This window comes from Homo sapiens, chromosome 5 (assembly GCF_000001405.40).
Source record: "Homo sapiens chromosome 5, GRCh38.p14 Primary Assembly".
Lineage (NCBI taxonomy): Eukaryota > Metazoa > Chordata > Mammalia > Primates > Hominidae > Homo > Homo sapiens.
This window is the reverse complement of record NC_000005.10, coordinates 81530702-81553211: the sequence shown is the minus strand read 5'-3', so window position 1 is coordinate 81553211 and position 22510 is coordinate 81530702. Positions and strand designations below refer to the sequence as shown.

Below are 22510 nucleotides of genomic sequence, written 5' to 3'. Positions count from 1 at the left end.
GTACATTTCGTGTTGGCTCTACTTAACCTTACAATCCATATTGAGGAAGGTAAATTCAATATTGCTGTTAATCAAATCACTGAGCTTAAGTGACTCACCCAAGGCCTCATGGACAATGGACAATTGTTAGGGTTGAATGAGAATTCATACCTCCTCTTCCGATTCTCAGCAGTCATGGAGTCTCATTATCATCCTCATTTCCTGAACTGCTACTGTGCTGGAAGTACTCCTGACAGTTTGTATCCTCCCTCAGAAGCTGTGACCTATTTTTAATGTTGCTTTTTCAGGTAAAGAGATAATATTACATGCTGTGTAATATTATCCATTGCTGTATAAATGGATGAAGAAGAATTTATAAATTCCAGACCTACTTAGCATTTTCATGCTCTTTATAATTACTAAAAGTCTATCACTATTTGAGTCACAGGTTAACTTAAAAAAATTAAAGAATCCAAAACTGTATTTTTGTTCTACCAATTCCTCTTCACATGCACACCTTTACATTATTTTCTGTAAATCCTGTTTTACTTTGGGTTTTTTTTTTTCTTCTTTCTTTTTTCTTTTTTTTTTTTAAGAGACATAGTCTTGCTCTGTTGCCCAGGCTGGAGTGCAGTGGTGTGATCTCAGCTCACTGCATCCTCTGCCTCCTGGGTTCAAGTGAGTCTTGTGCCTCAGCCTCCCAAGTAGGTGGGATTATGGGCATGTGTCGTCACACCTGGCTAATTTTTGTATTTTAGTAGAGACAGGGTTTTACCATGTTGGTCAGGCTGGTCTCAAACTCCTGTCCTCAAGTGATCCACCCACCTGGGCCTCCCAAAATTTTGGGATCACCAGACATGAGCCACCGTGCCCGGCCTTTACTTTGTTTTGACTGTAAATTTCTGGTTTCTTAATACAGTTTCCGATGATAATTAAATATTAGGTTCACTCTACTTCTTAACTATAGATATTTATTCTAAATACATATTATATGAACCCAGCTATGTCATATGGATTTGAGAACTAGCATTAAACATACTTTTAGGCTCTTGTTTGCTTATTTATCTCTCTATACAAGAATTAGCACAAATATTCATATACTCACTAACCAAGATAATGTTATTAATTTTATGCTACAAAACAAAATAAGCCATATCCAATATTTTCCTAATGTCAAGTGAATGTAACTAAAAAAGGAATGTAAGTGAGATCACAGTGTGTGAAGTGTGAGTTGATACACTGATACCTTTTATGATTCAATTAAATGTTTTCTGAAAATAGCCTCTTCAAATTCTTAGAAATTTCCTAAGAAATGTACAATAAGCATCAAAATGTGTAATTACTTTAGATCTATTTAATAGTTGTCAACATTTTAAAATAATAGTCTTGTAGATATTTTTTAAGTACCAGGACAATGACATAAAAATAAGCATAAATTGTAACTGTCTCTAAATTTAATAAAGTATACATTTTTACATTCCACAAAACTTAATTTTAATTGTTTTCAGCACTGACATATAATTACTAAATGTCACGTGACCAACAAAAAATTTAAATAAGATTTAAGTTGAGAGCTTTACTGGAAGAAATGCAGTTACATTTCTTTTAAATATTTTAGTAAATAAGTAATAAATACTTTTATTTTAATAAATAACAGAATGCAAGTGGAAAATTGCCGCCTGGAATCACTTGTTGTTCAAGCCTTCCCATTGAGAAAGACTGATTGTAGACTGACTGTCAGCATTTTAGAGGTTAATGCTATATAAAAGTATTTGCATTTCTAAAACTTTTTAAATCATGAGTATGATAAAATTCCAAAAATGGATACCTAAGGTGCTTCACTTGAAATACCATTAATTAGGAAAACTGTGATTATGCTTATGTTGAATATCTTCTGCAAATAAAATTATCAGATTTATTGTTATCAAGCAGATACATATACTTAAGAAAAATAAGGTCTTGTTTTTCTAATTCCCAAAACCAAATGTATTTTTAGTGTAGTGAGATAATACAGGAAAAAATTGTATAGGCTAAATAATTTGTTGTTTTAATAGTGAAAAGCAATTGATTCCTAGTTAGTTATAATAATAACATGAACATTCTTCTTCTATGATTTCTTTTTTTTTTTTTTTTTTTCGAGATGGAGTCTCGTTCTGTCACCCAGGGTGGAGTGCAGTGGTGTGATCTCCGCTCGCTGCAAGATCTACCTCCCGGGTTCATGCCATTCTCCTGCCTCAGCCTCCTGAGTAGGTGGGACTACAGGCGCCTGCCACCACACCTGGCTAATTTTCTGTATTTTTAGTAGAGACGGGGTTTCATCGTGTTACCCAGGATGGTCTCGATCTCCTGACCTCGTGATCCACCTGCCTCGGCCTCCCGAAGTGCTGGGATTACAGGTGTGAGCCACCGCGCCTGGCCTCTTCTATGATTTCTAAACTTCTTTTATTGTAAACATAATTCCTGTGTTTGGGGAGCTCAGAATTAGTTTGGTAAGTTCTTATCTATGATTCCATAGAATACAAACAAGGCAAATCCTAAAATTATATCTACATGGTTAAGTCAAATAGAGAGTTGTTGACATGTTGTGATTTATGTAGAGAGTCAGATTGTCCCATTCTGCTCAGTTAAAATCAGCTAAGGGTTATTTTGAGGTTCTAGACCATTTGTGCAAAATCAAAACAAAGGTCAAAGAATGGATGAGTGTAATTTTTTCATGCCCCTCTTTTTAATATCTTTAAATGATTACTTTTCATTTTCTCATTAATAAAATTACTTTGGTAAAAAAAATGAGTATTTTAATATGACATTTCAATAATGCTATTTATTCAACATCTAGCTGTTAAGTCTAAGGTGCTGAATGAGGTTTTGTTAGATAATACAATAATATAAGATAGGATTGTGGCCCTCAAGGAATTTGCAGTTTTGGTAGAAAGTCAAAACCAAACAGGAGAAGTTAAATAAAACTTGATTATGTTAAATAATATCAGAGACAACAATAGTATCAGAAGCATAGTTATTCTTTCCAAATGTCAGAAAACAGATTTGGAGCATAAAATATAGTTAATTACTATTAACGTTCGTGTACAGCAACATAGGTTAAAATGCATACGTTGATGTTTAACCAGTACAGCAAGCAAGAGTAAATATGTGAGATATAGTCTTCTATTTCTTTAAACTCTGAATGTGGCATTTGTCTTGAAGATGGAGGGTGGGAAAGTGTAACAAAAAAAGGAGAGAGGACAGAGCATCCTCTCAAAAGAAGACTGCTATTAGAAAAGCAGGGCACAAAAGGTGAGAAGGGATATACCAAAATCTAATTCACCTGAAAAGTGTGACTTACCGTACTTCAAAAAACCAAACCTTAGTGCCATAGTAACAGGCAGTCGATAAATGATCAGTAATTATCACCTTAGAGGGTGGTGGTTTCAAGAGCCTATGCTTACCTCAAACATAGCAAATTGTATATATTAAATGTGGACATCTTTTTATCCATCAATCATTTCTCAATAACATTGCTTAAAAATGATCAGTAAAATTACGGTCATAATCAGAGCCCTCTAATTGGTATAATTTTTGTATGAATCATTCATGTATTCTTTCAGTAGATACTACCACACACCATTATAGGTGGAGGCTATGAGGTACACTGTTCTTTCCAAAGGGCTTAGAGTTTTGCTTGGGAAAGCAGATGCATATACAGTAGCACAAGATTATTGCATATACAATAACACAAGTAGGTTATGTGTAGGATACGTGCGAGAAGGTTGTAGCAGTAAGGCCTGGAAACGCAATTTGGATTCAGGGCGTGGAGGTATTTATTATAAGATTAAGAAACATAGGATGTTTAGATAAATGGGACTCATGGAAGATACTCGAATATATCAGTGACGTGATCACAGCAGCAATATTTGACAGTATGATGCAACATTGTCAGAGCAAGGCGAGAGATTGATTGATGAAGAGAAAGATGAAGGCAGGAAGGTAAACCAAATGCTCCTTATTTTAATGGTACTTATTTCAATGGCACAGTTAAGGTGTGGTAGTGATTGAACTAAGTCTTCAACATTATGGGTAAAAAGATAAAGAAGATTTTTTAAATTTTGGAAATTTAACATTTTTAAGACTTGAAGCCAGATAATAGCTTATCAGTTAGAGGTTTCCTTTGATAATTTAAAAACTATAACTATATCTTGCTTATTAGGTATCTAAGCTCTTCTTTCTTAGATAAAATAAATATAATGTCAGTTAAATATGTATAAAATTTCAGTTTATGAAAGACAAAACTATCTTCTTAATATTGTACTTTTTTTTGAGATGGAGTCTCGCTCTGTCGCCCAGGCTGGAGTGCAGTGGCGTGATCTTGGCTCACTGCAAGCTCTGCCTCCTGGGTTCACGCCAGTCTTCTGCCTCAGCCTCCCGAGTAGCTGTGACTACAGGTGCCCACCACCACACCTGGCTAATTTTTTGTATTTTTAGTAGAGACGGGATTTCACTGTGTTAGCCAGGGTGGTCTTGATCTCCTGACCTCGTGATCCACCTGCCTCGGCCTCCCAAAGTGCTGGGATTACAGGCGTGAGCCACTGTGCCTGGCCAATATTGTACATTTTTAAATATATTCCATAGCCCATTTTAGTAAGTTCGCGGGAGAAGAGGCAGGATTTTTGAGTCATTTCACTTTAATACATACAAATGTCATGAAGTACTACTTGGGCAGAAGTAATATGCATTAGATCCATAATAGAATATTTTTCTTAAGAATTCAAGGACTGGTATAGTGCTGTCTGAACATATATTTCTTAAGTATATTTTATTATTAGAACACTTCACAGCACAATTGAGTAGAAAGTTCAGAGGTTTCCCATATACCCCTCTGCCTCTAACACACAACCTCTTTTATCAGCATGCTGCGCCCACAGTGTACATTCGTTATGATCAATGAACCTGCATTGACACATTGTCACCCAAAGTCCACAGTTTACATTAGAGAATATACAACCCATGGAATATGCAGTATACATTATGTATACCCTAATATACATTAGGGTTCATTCAGCAACTACCACTCTGATCAGTCAGCTGCCATCAATATCAAAGCAAGACCCTCCAACAGCAAAAAGATTATGACTCACTGAAGGCTCAGAGAATTGTTGGCAGTTTTTAGCAATAATTTTTTATTACACTTTAAGTTCTGGGATACGTATATATTGTATATTCCATGGGTTTATACGTGTATATTGTATATTCCATGGGTTTACACAGTAACATACAGAATAGTTTCACTGCCCTAAAAATCCTTGTGTCCTATCTTTTCATCCTTCCCTTCCTCCAACTATTGGCAACTGTTGATTTTTTCACTGTCTCCTTTTGCCTTTTCCAGAATATCATATATTTGGAATCATACAGTATGTAGCCTTTTCAGATTGGTTTCCTTCACTTAGTAATATGCATTTAAGTTTTCTAAGCTGGGCACAGTGGCTCATATGTTTAATTCCAGCATTTTGTGAGTCCAAGGCAGGAGGATCACTTGAGCCCAGGAGTTTGAGACCAGCCTGGGCAACATAGCAAGACATCGTCTCTACAAAAAATAAAAACAAAAAAATTAGCTAGACATGGTGGCATGTGCTTATAGTCCTAGCTACTTGGAAGGCTGAAGCAGGAAGATTGCTCAAGCCCAGGAGTTGAAGGTTGCAGTGAGCTATGATTGTGCCACTGCACTCCAGCCTGGGCAACAGCGTGAGATCCTGTCTCAAAGAAAAAAAAAATGTTTTCTCCACATCTTTTCATGGCTTGATACCTCATATCTTTTTAGCACTGAATAATATTCCGTTGTCTGGATGTGATACAATTTATTTCTCTACTCACCCACTGAAGAACATCTTGGTTGTTTCTAAGAATCAGCAATTATAAAGCTGCTACAAATATCTATGTGCAGATTTTTGTTTGGGGATAGGTTTTCAACTCCTTGGGTAAGTATCAAGGAGAGCAGTTGCTGGATCATATGGTAAAAATATGTTTGGTTTTTGTAAGAAACTGCCAAACTGTCTTCCAAAGTGGCTGCGCCGTTTTGCATTTCCGCCAGCAATGGATGAGTTCCTGTTGCTTCAAATCCCCACCAGCATTTTATGGTGGTGTTAGTGTTCTGGATTTTGGCCTGAACATGTATTTCTTGATAGACTTTTTTTTTTTTTTTTTTTTTGGCCAAGATTTGCCCTTTACTATAAAAACCCAAACTATGAATGATGATTAGTCTTGGTGAAAACTTTTAACAATCATTGTTCTCGTGTATTCTTAAGAGAATTCTTTGTGATTGATTTTTTAAAAATGTTACAATATGTTCTATAAAGGTTTTATGGAACATATTGTAACATTTTATATTTAATGTTCATAAGATTGGCATTGTGTTAGAAGGCAGGTTTCTTTTGAAAAGTCATTTTTTCTAGAAATCATTGATCAATAAATTCACTGACTTTTCTGTTCTCCAGTAGCCTGTCCAAAAGTTACCATGGATTCATAATATTTTACTAAAATTAATGGAAAGGAAAACTGGAAATGATAGTTGTTCTAAGAAAATTAGTATTTTAAGCAGACTAGTAGTTTTATCTTTGGATATATCTGAACAGTTCTAATGAAAAATATTTTCCCTTTGACCTCAAAGACGTATTGTAAGAGTAACTCAAGCCTTAAAAAGACTAAATCTCTTGAACATTAAAGTTGAAGACACCGAGAAGGTATTTATATGCCTTCTGGCAGCAGCAATTTTTGTTATTGTTTGTCTAGTTAGTGCCCTAGCATAAAGAAAAAAATAGACATTTGCAAATTTCACCTAAAAATTGACTCCTATATCAGTAAAGATTTTATTGGGTTGAGGTAAAGAATAATCAATCTGAAAGGAATCATTTTGCAAGGTAAATTAGTGATCAAGAATACAAGCTTTGGAATTAGAACTGAATCATAAAATTGTGATTTTGCTACTTAGTAATATGTGGCCTTGGACAAGTTGTGTAAAGTTATGTGTGGCATAGCTTCCTTATTTGTAAAGTGGGAAAGATAATGCCTATTCATTGCTATTATAATGATTAAATGAGATTACATAAAGTACTTGGTACAATGCCTAACACTCAGTAGGTGATTAATAAATGATAGCCATTGTTCTTGATCAGCCAGGCTTGTACTTAAACATTCTCTTTAAAACTATTGAAGGAAAAAAGAAGGAAAGGGAATTTCATCTGATCAACCAGCTTGTGCTTAAACATTCCCTTTAAAACTATTTTAGGGAAAAGGAAGGGAAGGAAATTTCATCTGTCTAGCTCACCAAGAATGGAGTGGACATTGGATTCTGGGAGCAAAGGCCTATGACAAAGAAATTAAAACTAAAATACTCTCTCTGCCTTTTTATAAATCAGTTTTTCTCTTCATGCCACTTTGGTAACAACTTTTGTGGTATCAGAATTAAAGACTGTTTATTAACACAGTTTTCCCTTTTAATTTGCCATATATTGTTTTTTGTATTATACAAGGGTTAGTACTTGTCTAAGCTGACCTGCTACGCCCCTGAAAGCACAAAATGTGTCTTGTTCATTGTATATATATCCCAGAGTATATCACACCTAATATGTAATCAACAAGTATATATGAATTCCATGAATCTCAGTTGTTGTGTATACTGTGCCTGAGAGGCAGAAGAACTTGGTTTGTTAACAGCTTGACCACAAATCAACTATGTGGTGATAGTTTCAGACTTTATTCACACAACTAATTATTTTTATTGCTATTGTTAGTATTACTACTACTAATTATTTCTATTACTGTTCTTTAAAATAGTATTTGTATGTTTTTTATTAGTCAAGGTAGGAAAGTGGTTGTAAAAAAATCCCAAATTTCAGTGCCTTAATACAATAAAAGTTTATTTCTTACCTTATGTCACAGTCTACTATGTATAGGATTGCCAGATAAAATTCAAGATGCCCAGTTACATTTGAATTTCAAATAAGCAATAAACAATTTTTAAGTATATCCTAAATATTGCATACATATATAGTTATGTCTTTAATACTGTATAAGGCATACTTATACTAAAAAAATATGTGTTTTATCTGAAATTCAAATTCAGCTGTGCTCTCTGTATACTTATTAATTGTTAAAGCTGGCCACCCTAAAGTGTAGAGGAGTGATGATGGATAGAAGAGGTGGGTGGCTCTACTTTGTACAGTCAGTGAGAGTCTCATACTCCTTCCTTCACATAGTCCTACCATATGTTGGGCCTTATCCTCCTCTATATTCAGTCCATATGTGGAGAACAGCAGAGCATAATATATGGGGAATTGTGTGTGAGGTTTCATGGGCCAAACTTGGAAGCACCTTGTTATCACTTCCACCCACTTTGTACATATTTGCCATAACTCAGTCACATGACCTCTGCTCACATAAAGGAGGGCTGGGAAATGTAGTTTGGCTGTGTGTCTGAGAAGCAAAAACAGGTTTAGTGAGCATCCAGTCTCTACCATATTCCTTTCTTTGTTCACTAAATCAGTGACATTATTGTTTTTATTTTTCTGTTTTTTTCCCCTTTGAACAATTAGGATATCAGCACATTTACTCTTAGTTTTGTTCTCCCCCTGCAAAAACAAACAAAACCACAATGATTCCTTTTAAACATTCCTTCCTTTTATGTCTTTCTGTGGAATCATCAAAATGAGTTGTACTATTTCTCCAAAGAATGTAAGTTAGACTTAATACATGTTTAGGCGAAGTTCAAGAGACACACCTGCTCATTTCTTGTCCTGAAATACATTACAGGGTGCCCAGTTATACAGCTGGTCAATAAAAAGATGCCTGATTGCCTTCCAGAGTCAAAGAGGCTTCACTTGACAATAAGAAATAAAGGTGGGCCAGGCGCAGTGGCTTAGGTCTGTAATCCAAGCACCTTGGGTGGCTGAGGGGGGCGGATCACGAGGTCAGGAGTTGAAGACCAGCCTGGCCAAGATGGTGAAACCCCGTCTCTACTAAAAATACAAAAATTAGCCGGGCGTGGTGGCATCGCCTGTAGTCCCAGCTACTCAGGAGGCTGAGGCAGGAGAATGTCGTGAACCCGGGAGGCGGAGCTTGCAGTGAGCCGAGATCCCGCCACTGCACTCCAGCCTGGGCCACAGAGCGAGACTCCGTCTCAAAGGAAAAAAAGGAAGGAAGAAAGAAAGGTGGAAGTTTGGTGTTTTTGTGAAGAGAAAGAATTGCATCATGAAGATAGTGTCAGTGTTTGAGCATATAAGTAGATTATTGTTTATAATTATATATTGTTTATTTCAGTATTGCACAGCAAACATATCCATTTTATTTATATTACATTGTTTTGGAAAACTCTAGATATACTTAGCAGAGTAGTTATATTTGATTTAAAGGGTAGAAAAAAATTAGTAATTTGGATGTCTTGTTTTAAATGACATTTATTTGTTTCTTCATTCTTTCATTTAGCAAATAATTATTGAATGCCTACTATTTGTAGGATATAGCATGTATAGTTGAAGCTATACATGAGTATCCATAGTCACTGTGATAGGAATTCTTTTTTTTCAACTTTTATTTTAGATTCAGAGGATACATATATGTAGGTTTGTTACCTGGATGTATTGCATGATGCTGAGGTTTAGGGTATGAATGATCTTATCACCCAGGTACTGAGCATAGTACCCAATAGTGAGTTTTTCAACCCTTGTTCCCTCTCTTCCTCTCCCCTCTAGTAGTCTTCAGTGTCTATTGCTGGCATCGTTATGATCATGAGTACCCATTGTTTAGCCCCCAATTCTGAGTGAGAACATGTGATATTTGGTTTTCTGTTCCTGAATTAATTTGCTTAAAATAATGGCCTCCAGCTGCATCCATGTTGCTGCAAAGGACATGTGTATTAGTCTGTTCTTAGACTGCTACAGAGATACTACCTAAGACTGGGTAATTTATAAACAAAGGAGTTTTAATTGACTTACAGTTCCGCATGGCTGGGGAGGACTCAGGAAACTTACAATCGTGGTGGAAGGGGAAGTAGGCACCTTCTTCACAAGGCTGTAGGAGAGAGTATAAGCATGTTGGCCGGGCAGGGTGGCTCACGCCTGTAATCCCAGCACTTTGGGAGGCCGAAGCAGGCGGATTACCTGAGGTCAGGAGTTCGAGACCACCCTGGCCACCATGGTGAAACCCCGTCTCTACTAAAAATACAAAAATTAAATGGGCATGGTGGCACATGCCTGTAATCCCAGCTACTCGGGAGGCTGAAGCAGGAGAATTGCTTCAGCCCGGGAGGCAGAGGTTGCAGTGAGTCGAGATTGTGCCAGTGCACTCCAGCCTGGCCGACAGAGCCAGACTCTGTCTCAAAAAAAGAAGAAAGAAAGGAGAGAGAGAGAGAGAGAGAGAGAGAGAGAGAGAGAAACTGTCAAATACTTATAAAAACCATCAGATTTCATGAGAAGTCACTATCATAAGAACAGCATAGGGGAAGCCACCCCATGATCCAATCACCTCCCACCTGGTCCTTCCCTCGACACATGGGGATTATGAGGATTACAATTCCAGATGAGATTTGGGTGAGGACACAGCACCAAACCATATCACCATGACTTTGTTCTTTTTTGTGGATGCATAGTATTCCATGGTGTATATGGAATATATACCATGTGTATACACCATGGAATACTATGCATCTATTTTCTTTATCCAGTCCACTGTTGATTGACATCTAGGTTGATACCATGTCTTTGCTATTGTGAGTAGTGGTGCTATGAACATGTGAGTGTATGTGTCTTTTTGATAGAATGATTTATTGACTTTTGGTTTTATGCCAAGTAATGGGATTGCTGGGTTGAATGATAGTTTTGAGTTCTTTGAGAAATCTCCAAACTGCTTTCCACGGTGGCTGAACTAAATTACATTCCCACTAACAGTGTATAACACTTTTCTTCACAGCCTTACCAACATGTTTTTGTTTTTTTGACTTTTTTAATAATTGCCATTCTCACTGGGTGAGATGGTATCTCATTGTGGTCTTGATTTGCATTTCTCTGATTATTAGTGATGCGGAGCATTTTTTCATGTGTTTGTTGGCCGCTTGTATGTCTTCTTTTGAGAAGTGTCTGTTCATGTCTTTGCCCATATTTTAATGAGGCTATATGTTTTTTGCTTGTTCATTTAAGGTCCTTACGGATTCTGGATATTAGACCTTTGTTGAATGCAGAGTTTGTGAATACTTTCTCCCATTCTGTAGGTTGGTTGTTTACTCTGTTGATAGTTTCTTTGCTTTGCAGACCCTCTTTAGTTGAATTAGGTTCCACTTGTCAATTTTTGTTTTTGTTGCAATTGCTTTTGAGGACTTAGTCGTAATTCTTTGCCATGGACGAAGTCCAGAATGGTGTTTCTTACTTTTTTTTCTAGGATTCTTATAGTTTGAGGTTTTACATTGAAACCTATACTTTATTTTGAGTTATTTTTTGTATATGGTGAAAGGTAGGGGCCCAGTTTCATTCTTCCACATATGGCTAGCCAACTATCCCAGCACCATTTATTGAATAGGGGTCCTTTTCCCATTTAGTATTTTTGTCTACTTTGTCAAAGATCAGATGGCTGTAGGTCTGCAGCTTTTTTTCTGGGTTCTCTATTCTGTTCCATTAGTCTATATGTCTCTTTTTGGACCAGTACCATGCTGTTTTGGCTTATTGTAGCCTTATAGTATAGTTTGAAGTCAGGTAATATGATGTCTCTGGCTTTGTTTTTTTTCACTTAGGATTGCTTTGGCTATTTTGGCTCTTTTTTGGTGCTATATGAATTTTAGAATCGTTTGTTCTAGTTCTGTGAAAAATGACATTGGTAGTTTGGTATGAATAGCATTGAATCTATAGAGTGCCTTAGGCAGTATCGCCATTTTAATAATATTGATTCTTCCAATCTGTGAGCATGAGATGTTTTTACATTTGTTTGTGTCTTCTATGACTTCTGTTATCAGTATTTTGTAGTTCTCCTTGTAGAGATCTTTCAACTACTTGGTTAGATGTATTCCTGGCTATTTTATTTTTTTCCTGTGGCTATAGTAAATGGGATTGCATTCTTGGTTTGGCTCTCAGCTTGAACATGATTAGTATATAGAAATGCTGCTGATTTTTTTTTCCATTGAATTGACATCCTGAAACTGTGCTGATGTAGTTTATCAGCTCCAGGAAACTTTTGGCAGGGTCTTTAAGGTTTTCTAGCTATAGAATCACACATTGTTTGCATAGAGAGATAGTTTGACTTCTTTTCTTATTTGGATACCTTTTTTTTTTTTCTAACTTTCTGTTGCCCAATTGATCTGGCTAGGACCTCCAGGAATTCTAATATTTAACCCTTAATATTGAATGGAGTTACATTTCATGTCATGCTTTTTGAGTGATTTACAGGTGCAAATCGGAGATACTGCAGTTTGGTTTCAGAGCACCACAATAAAGTGAATATTGCCATAAACTGAGTCACACACATGTTTTGGTTTCTTTTATAGGGCATATAAAAGTTATATGTACATTATACTGTATTCTATTAAACATGCAATAGCATTATACCTAAAGAAACAATGTACATACCTTAGTTCCAGAATCTACAAAGAACTTAATCAAATTTATGAGAAAAAAACAACCCCATGAAAAAGTGGGCAGAGGATATGAATAGACATTTCTCGAAAGAAGACATTTATGCAGCCAACAAACATATGAAAAAAAGCTTATCATCACTGGCCATCAGAGAAATGCAAATCAAAACCACAGTGAGATACCATCTCATGCCAGTTAGAATGGCGATTGCTAAAAAGTCAGGAAACAACAGATGCTGGAGAGGATGTGGAGAAATAAGAACGCTTTTACACTGTTGGTAGGAGTATAAATCAGTTCAACCATTGCGGAAGACAGTGTGGCGATTCCTCAAGGATCTACAACCAGAAATACCATTTGTCCCAGCGATCCCATTACTGGCTATATACCCAAAGGATTGTAAATCATGCTGCTATAAAGATGCATGCACACATATGTTTATTGCGGCACCATTCACAATAGCAAAGACTTGGAACCAACCCAAATGCCCATCAATGATAGACTGGATAAAGAAAATGTGGCACATATACACCATGGAATACTATGCAGCCATAAAAAAGGATGAGTTCATGTCCTTTGTAGGGACATGGACGAAGCTGGAAACCATCATTCTCAGCAAACTAACACAGGAAAAGAAAACCAAACACTGCATGTTCTCACTCATAAGTGAGAGTTGAACAATGAGAACACATGGACACAGGGAGGGGAACATCACACACCGGGGCCTGTCGGGGTGGGGGGCTAAGGGAGGGATAGCATTAGGAGAAATACCTAATGTAGATGACGGGTTGACGGGTGCAGCAAACTTCCATGGCACGTGTATACCTATGTAACAAACCTGCACGTTCTGCACATGTAATCCAGAACTTAAAGTATAATAAAAAAATTATTGCTAAGAAATGGCAACAATTCTCTGAGCCTTCAGTGAGTCAAAATCTTTTTGCTGTTGGAAGGTCTTGCCTTGATATTGATGGCAGCTGACTGATCAGAGTGGTGGTTGCTGAATGCTGGGGTGGCTGTGGCAGTTTCTTAAAATAAGACAACAATGAAGTTTGCCACATTGAATGACTTTTCCTTTCACAAATGATTTCTCAATAGCATACAATACTGTTTGATGGCATTTGACCCACAGTAGAACTTCAAAATTGGAGTCAGTTTTAGTCTTAAACCTTGCCGCTGCTTTATCAACTCAGTTTATGTAATATTCTAAATCTTTTGTAATCGTTTCAGCAGTGTTCATAGCATCTTCACCAGTAGATTCTATCTCAAGAAACCACTCTCTTTGCTCATCCATAAGAAGCAACTCATCTGTCAAGTTTGATATCGTGAGATTGGCAGCAATTCAGTCACATCTTCAGGCTCCACTTGTAATTCTTGTTCTCCCTCTATTTCCACTACATTTGCAGTGACTTCTTCCACTCAAGTCTTGAACCCCTTAAAGTCATCCACAAGGGTTGGAATCAACTACTTCCAAACTCTAGTTTATGTTACTATTTTAATCTCCTCCCGTGAATCACAAATGTTCTTAATAGCATCTAGAATAATGAATTCTTTCCAGAAGGTTTTCTATTTACTTTTTCCAGACCCATCGAAGGATTCACTATTTGTGGCAGTTAAAGCCTTATGAAATATATTTCTTAAATAATAAGTCTTGAAAGTCAAAGTTACGCCATGATCCATGGGCTGCAGAATAGATATTGTGTTTGCAGTCAGGAAAACAACATCAGTCTCCTTGTATATCTTCATCAGAGCTCTTGGGTGACTAGATGCATTGTCAATGAACAGCAGAGGACTTCCGTGTAGCAGGTCTCAACAGTGGGCTTCAAATATTCGGTAAACCATTCTGTGAACAGATGTGCTGTCACCCAGGCTTTGTTGTTCCATTTATAGAACACAGGCAGAGTAGATTTAGTGTAATTCTGAAGGGCCATAGGATTTTCAGAATGGTAAATGAGCATTGGCTTCAGCTTAAAGCCCCCAACTGCATTAGCTGCTAACAAGAGAACCAGCCTAACAAGAGAATCAGCCTTTGAATATTTGAAAGCATGCATTGACTTCTGCTCTTTAGCTATGAAAGTTCTACATGGCATCTTTCAATAGAAGGCTGTTTCATCTACACTGAAAATCTGTTGTTTGGTATAACCACCATAATCAGTGATCTTAGCTAGATCTTCTGGATAACTTGGTGCAGCTTCTACATCAGCACTTACTGCTTCACTGTGCACCGTTTTGTTCTAAAGACAGCTTCCTTCCTTAAACTTCATGAACCAGTTTCTGCCAACATCAGACTTTTTGTCTGCTGCTCTCTTACCACTCAATTGAAGAGACTTAGGGCCTTGCTCTGTATTCGGCTTTGGCTTAAGGAAATGTTGTGGCTGGTTTGATCTTCTATCCACATCACTAAATCTTTCTCTGTATAAACAGTAAGGCTGTTTTGCTTTCTTATCATCTGTGTTTCACTGGAGTAGCACTTTTAATTTCCTTCAAGAACTTTTCCTTTGCATTCACAACTTGACTGTTTGGTACAAGAGGACTAGCTTTCGGCCTATCTTGGCTTTTGACGTGCCTTACTCACTGAGCTTGATCATTTTTAGCTTTTGATTTAGAGTGAGAGATGTGCAACTTTTTCCTTTTACTTGAAACACTTAGGGGCCATTATAGGGTTATTAATTGGCCTAATTTTAATATTATTGTCATTTTTAGCTTTTGTTTTAAAATGGGAGAGTGCAACTTTTTCCTTTTGCATGAACACTTAGAGGCCGTTATAATTTCAATATTGGCCTAATTTCAATATTGTTGTGTCTCAGGGAATAGGGAAGCCTGAGGAGAGGGACAGAGATGGGGAACAGCCAGTAGGTAAAGCACTCAGAACACACCCATCTATGGATTATGTTTGTCTTGTATGGGTGTGGTTCACGGTGTCCTACAATAGTAACATCTGAGATCACTGATAACAGATAATCGTAACAGATATAATGATAAAGTATTACAAGAATTACCAAATGTGACAGACCTGAATGAGCACATGCTGTTGGATAAATGATGAATGGAGACTTGTTCAAGGTATGGTTGCCACAAACCTTGAATTTGTAAAAACAAACAATAACAAAAACAACCACAATATCTGTGAAGTGCAATAAAGTGAGGTATGTCTCTATTCAGTGATGATGGGTTTTTTTAATCCCAGAATAAGCTGTCTCCTGTTTCTCATGATGGTCACTGAAATTTTGAAATGTCTTTCTAGAGTTAAGGATGCCACCTGTGGCCTAGTTGCAGAACAGACAAATTCATATGAGAATTGTCTCAGGTCTCATCAGCATTGTCTTCAGTCCAACTCAAAGCCTCCACCCCCATAAGAAGAAAAATAGGTCATCAGTAGTTAAGAAGATTTTTAGGTAAGTTAACCTTTAGATGTTCATCACAGAAATCCCCCCCAAAAATTTGGATTTTATTAAGCAATAAAGTCAGACAAGCCCAGTGAGATCAGAGCACGTTAAGGATATTAATCACAATCCCTCACTTTTTTGGAGAAAGTCAACTAACGAAATTTTTAAATGTTTCAAAATTCCTTTTAGAAAATGAATCTAATCTTTCCTAAAACAGAAATCAATTGCTACAATTTTTTTTTTTTTTGAGACAGAGTCTTGCTCTGTTGCCCAAGCTGGAGTGCAGTGTTGTGATCTCAGTTCACTGCAACCTCCGCCTCCTGGGTTCAAGCAATTCTCCTAGCTGGGATTACAGGCGAGCACCACCACACCCTGATAATTTTTTGTATTTTTAGTAGAGATGGTGTTTCACCATGTTAGCCAGGATGGTCTTGATTTCCTGACCTCATGATCCGCCCTCCTTGGCCTCCCAAAGTACAATATTTTTAAGATATAGCAACACATACTGTTTCAGTACCACAATATCTGAAAATAAGGTAATTTTTCCTGTCCTGTGATAGAGTTAAGCGCATAGGTGAAGTTTTTAAAAAGATCTTGTTTGCTTTCAAGTTTTGGCAATTGTGAATAAAGCTACTGTAAACATCTATGTGCAAGCTTTTGTATGGACTTGGTTTTCAACTCCTTTGGCTAAATACCAAGAAGAGCAACTGCTGAATCTTATGGTAAGAATATATTTAGTTTTTTAAGAAGTTACTGGGGCCTATCAGGTGGGTGGAGGTTGGGAGGAGAAAGGGGATCAGGAAAAATAACTAAGAGGTACTAGGCTTAATACCTGGGTGATGAAATAACCTGTACAACGAACCCCCATGACACAAGTTTACCTATCTAACAAACCTGTATGTGTACCCCTGAGCTTAAAATAAAAGTTAAAAAAAGAAGTTACCAGATTTTCTTCCAAAGTGGTTGTATCTTTTGCATTTTGAAGGAGAGTTCCTGTTGCTCCATATCCTTACCAGCATTTATGTTGTAATTGATCTACATATTGGCCATTCTAATATGCATATAATGGAATCTCGTTTTAATTTGCATTTCCCCAATAACATATTATGTAGGACCTCTTTTCATATGCTCATTTGCCATCTGTATATCTCCTTTGCTGAGATATCTGGGTCTTTGGTCCATTTTTATTGGGCTGTTTATTATTATTGCATTTTTAAAAGTTGTTTGTATATTTTTGTAACAGTTATTTATCAGATATGTCTTTTGCAAATATTTTCTCCCAGTCTGTGGCTTGTCTTCTCACTCTCTTGACAATGTATTTTACAGAGCAGAAGTTTTTTAATTCTAATGAAGTCCATGTTATAATTTTTTTTTCATGGAATCATGCCTTTGGTATTGTATCTTAAAGGTCATCTTGATTTTATTATATGTTATTATCTAGAAGTTTTATAGTTTTGCATTTTACTTGTATGTCTGTGGTCCATTTTGATGTAATTTTTCTAAAGGGTGTAAGGTCTGTGTTTAGATTCATTTTTCTCTTTTTGCATGTGGATATCCCTGTTTTCTAGCAACACTTGTTGAAAAGGCTGTCTTTTCTCCATTCTAGTACCTTTGCTCTCTTGTCAAAATTCAGTTGACTATATTTATATGGGTCTATTTCTGGCCTCTCTCTTCTGTTCCATTGACCTATTTGTCTATTTTTCCTTCCAATACCGTATTATCTTGATAACTGTTGCCTTATAGTCAGTCCTCCAAATTTGTTCTCCTTTTTTATTGAACTATTTTGGATCTTTTACCTATTCATATAAACTTTACAATTTGTTCATCAATAGCGACGAAATAAGTTCGTTGTATTTTTATTGGGATTGTATTGAATCTATAGGTCACATCAGGAAGAACTGACATCTTGACAATATTGAGATATTGAGTCTTCCTATTCATGAACATAGAATATCTCTCCATTTATTTAGTTCTTTGATTTCTTTCACATCAGCATTTTGTAGCTTTCCTCATGTAAAATTTTATACATAATTTTATTAGATTTATACCTAAGTATTTCATCTTTTGGGGTAATAATGTAAATAGTGCTGTGTTTTTTTATGTCAAATTTTGTTTGTTCTTTGGTGGCTTATAGAAAATCAATTGGCTTTTGTATATCAACCTTGTATCCTGACACCTTACTGTAATTACTTATCATCACTCTCTTCTTGATTGCATGGTTTCTGATAATTCAGATGTAATTTTTAACTTAGTTTCTCCATCAGTAAGGGGTGTGTGTGTGTGTGCGTTATCTCTGGCTTCTTTCAGGATTTTTTCTTTATCTTCTATTTTCTGCAATCTAGTTATGACATGCCTAGATGGGATTTTGCTTTCTTTTGAGCATTTGTCCCACTTAATGTTCTCTGTGCTTCCTGGTTCTGGAGCCTTGTGTCTGACATTAATTTGGAGAAATTCTCAGTCATTATTGCTTCTGTTTCTTTCTCTCTTTATTCTTGTTGTATCTCCATTACACATATTTACACTTTTTGTAGTTGTTCCACAGTTCTTGGATATTCTGTTGTGTTTCTTAAGTCTTTTTTCTCTTGACTTTCCTGTTTTGAAATTTCTATTGCCACATCCTCAAGCTCAGAGATTGTTTCTTCAGTCATGTCTCGTCTAGTAATAAAATTATCAAAGGCATTCTTTATTTGTGTAACAGTGTTTTTGATCTCTAGCATTTCTTTTTTATTCTTAGAATTTTCATCTTTCTCCTTACATTGTCCATATGTTCTTGCATTTTGTTTGCATTATCCATTAGAGTTCTTTGCATATTAATCATAGTTGTTTTAAATTCCCAGTCTGATATTCCAACATCGCTCCCTTATCTGAGTCTGATTCTGGTGCTTGTTCTGTCTTTTCAAACTGTGGTTTTTGCTTTTTAGTGTGCCTTGTGATTCTTTCTTGATAGCTGGACATGATATCCTGGGTAAAAGGAACTGCTGTAAATAGGCTTTCAGTAATGTGGTGGTAACTTGTGAAGAGAGGGGAAATGTTCTTCATAGTCCTATGATTAGGACTCAGTGTTTTAGTGAGCCTGTGCCTGTGGACTGTGAAATTTGCAAGTGCTTCTCTGTTGACCTCACACTACTCCATAGGTGGGAAAGGTTGGCTAGAGTGGGCTGGATTTGAGTATTTTTGTTATCTTAGGCAGTTAGGCTCTGATAAAACCATAGCAGGTGAGGCTCCGGTTAGTTTCTCTTGAGGGCAGGCCTTGTTAAGAACAGAATGCTCTGGAGTATTTCAGAATGGTTCTTTTTCCTTTTCCCTTGCCAGAAGCAAGGAGAGTACTCTCCAGTATTTACTGTGAGAACCTTGTCCAGTCCCCAGAGACAAAACACAAGCATTTAGAGATCCCCCTGTGACTGAGTTACCCTAGAATTATTGACTCTCAGATTTGTCTACAATGAACCTCCAGCAGTTAATCAGTTACAGTTTAGGTTTTCCTAACCTAGCACTGGTTCCAGGGGATGTTTTTTCTCATGAGTTTTGCTCAGGTAAATTGCCTGTCTGTATCTACCTGTTTGTCTCTCCAGTTTTGGGGGCAGTGGTTTGCCTTGTGACCTCATCTGTTCACTGGATCTAACACAGGGTTGTTGGGTTCTCAGTTTGTTCAGCTTTTTACTTTTTATTAGGTCAGGGTGGTGACTTCCAAGTTCTTACATGGCGTAACAGAACCCTGCTGTCCTTCTTATTAAATATATGTTGTTGGATTCTAAATTCATATTTTGCTAAAGATATTTGTGTCTACATTTATGAGGGATGTTGACTGTGTTTTCTTTTCTTACATTTCCTTTTCTGGTTTTACTGTCAGAGTAATACTCACTCTCCCAGTATTTAGCTTTACCCCACAAATTTTGATATATTATATTTTCATTATTACTCATTATAATTTTTTTTAATTTCCCATGCAATTTTGTCTTTTACCTATATGTTGTTTAGAGGAGTATTTTTTAATTCCAAATGATTGGAGATTTTTCAGGTGCATTATGTTTTTTAGTACTAGTTTAATTATATTATGGTCAGATAACATACTTTGTATATATTGTCTTTTAAATTTTATTGAGACTTGTTTTATGGCACAGAATATGGTCTATTTTGGTGAATGCTTCAAGAATACACATTAAAAGAATGTATATTCTGCTATTTATGAGTGTAGTATTTTGTAAATTCAACTAGATCTAGCTGATGTAGAGATTGGTTCTAGTATTTTATATTCTCACTAATTTTCTGTCTACTATCGGTTGTTGAGAGAGAAATGTTAAAATCTCTACCTATAATTGCAAACTTGTCTATTTCTTTTTTCAAGTCTGATAATCTTTGTTTCATGCACTTTAAACCTTATTAGTTAGATATAAAACATTTAATATTGTTTTGTCATTTTGATCCATTTACTCTCTTATTATTCTACAGCTGTCTTTATTTTTTTCTGTTATTCCTTGTCCTGAAGTCTAATTTATCTGGTATTTATACAAGTACCCTGCTTCTTATGATAATATTTGCAGGTATATTCTTTTCTATGCCATTAATATTAAATTTGTCTTATACATAAAGTTGTTTCTTGGAGCAGCATATGTTGATTTGGTTTTGTAATCCACTATAAATCTATACTTTTTATTGCAGTGTTTAGACCACTTATATTTAATTTTTAAAAATCTTTATTTTTGAATTATCTTTCATTTTGTTTTCCATTTATTTATACTATCTAATCTTTGTCCTTTTTAGTATTAATTTTTACTATTTCATTTTCTCTCTACTGTTAGGTATACGTCTTTATTGTTTTTAGCAATTGCTCTAGAACTTAAATATCTGCAATATAATTTTCCTTGAAAACAAAGTTCAGACTTAGAAAATTGTGGCTGATGTGGACTGTGTAGATAAATTGATTAATCAGTCACTGAATTTTGTAGTTTGAAGATGGTAGTTTTAAAACAAAAATTAATTAATACTGCTTTATAAAATAGTATTATATAAAGTATTAATTTTCACATCTGGCCTTTTTATCTATGATCACTTCCTCCTCCATACTAAGGAACATTTTTTTCATCAAATAAACTTTTTCCTTTTAGGTGTACATTTCCAACATAAACTTGGCTCTGTATATGCCTTGACAGTACTGCTCTTCACTGATCAGTTGATAACTTTTCATGCATCTGTTTCAAATATCTTCTTTCCAAATGCTCTCTATTCCATTTCCTCTCAATAACAGCTGATAACTTCATATCTCTTGACAGAGAAAACTGAGAACATTTGGAATGAGATGCATGGATACACTGCTTTCACCTCAACTCATTTCTGCTTTCTTCTCCAGTAGGTGATGATAATCTCATCCTCCTTACTGTTCCAGAAGAGGTGCCCTCTTCCTTTCCTAGCATACCTCTTGCTCTAGCCTTAGAATTTCATGTTTCTTAGGGACCCTGATCTCCTAATTTATCTTTCTCTTGCACTCTTTCCAAATCTGGACAAAACCTCCACTTTACTGTCTTGTTCATTTTAACTACCTTTTGATTTCTTTACTGTCTTTCTTATCTAGCATTTTAAAATGATTGGTCTACAGCCATTTCCTCTGTGTCCTTGCAGCCTACTTTATTCTTCATATATTGTAATCTAGCTTCCACACTGAAGCCTCACAATAAGCATTCCATTTTTGCCTGGTTAATTCTTACCTTAAACACTAAGCTGTAGAATAATAATTTCAAAGAAGCATTCTTAAAACTTCCAGGATGGGCTTCTTGTGAATCTCTCTTCTTATTAGTTTGTATACAGTTCCCACTCTATATTAATTCCTTTAGGACTATAATCTTGTCTTATTTATTTATATTCTGCCAGTGTCTGGTATATAAGCCCACAATTAATTTTTTTTTAGTTTAACTGAAATTCAGTATCTTTTCCTCTGTAAAAATTTTTGATCAGTGTATCATTCAAGATTTTTAATCTTCCAGTTGAAATTATCTTCTTTCTTTTTTTTTTTCTTTTTTTTTTTTTCCAGACAGGGTCTTACTCTGCCACTCAGGCTGAGTGCAGTCATGGCTCACTGCAGTCTTGACCTCCTGGGCTCAAGTGATTCACCCACCTCAGCCTTCCTAGTAGCTGGGACTATAGGCATGCACCACCATGCCTAGCTAATTTTTGTTTTGTTTTGGTTTGGTTTTGGTTTTGGTTTGGTTTTGTAGAAATAGGGTCTTACTATGTTTCCAAGACTGAACTGGATGCAAGCAGTCCTCCCACCTGGGCCTCCCAAATTGCCAAATTACAGGCATGAGCCACCATGCGCAGTCTGAAATTATATTCTTTCTTGACTTCTAAACTTGTTTGCTTTATGTCCTCAAAATTCTTTTTTGAATACCTACTTTTTGCAAGTTTTTGGCACCATAAAATTATGATTCTGTATGTTTATACAGCTTTCAGTGAATGCATTTATAACAGCTACTGTGCACCTAGGTGCAAGAGATTCCAGTAGTAATAAGGCACAGCTCTTTCACTTGAGAACTTCATTGACTCAAAGGAGAGAAA

At 36.1% G+C, this 22510-nt stretch overlaps 1 protein-coding gene across 91 annotated transcripts in view; it reads left to right on the top strand.

The window, feature by feature from the left end:
• SSBP2 (single stranded DNA binding protein 2) overlaps positions 1 to 22510 on the top strand; it is a 339004-nt gene that overhangs the window by 198596 nt on the left and 117898 nt on the right. For 2 of the 91 annotated variants that reach the window (NR_174539.1, NR_174546.1), the window contains one exon: positions 2120 to 2375. The exons of 88 other annotated variants lie outside the window; for them this stretch is intronic. Coding sequence is in view for 1 of the 3 variants with exons in the window: in NM_001400356.1 (NP_001387285.1) it covers positions 2282 to 2375 (94 nt within the window). In the remaining 2 variants the exon portion in view is untranslated. The remainder of the gene's footprint in view (positions 1 to 2119; positions 2376 to 22510) is intronic. One more of the 91 variants, NM_001400356.1, reaches the window with a different exon arrangement.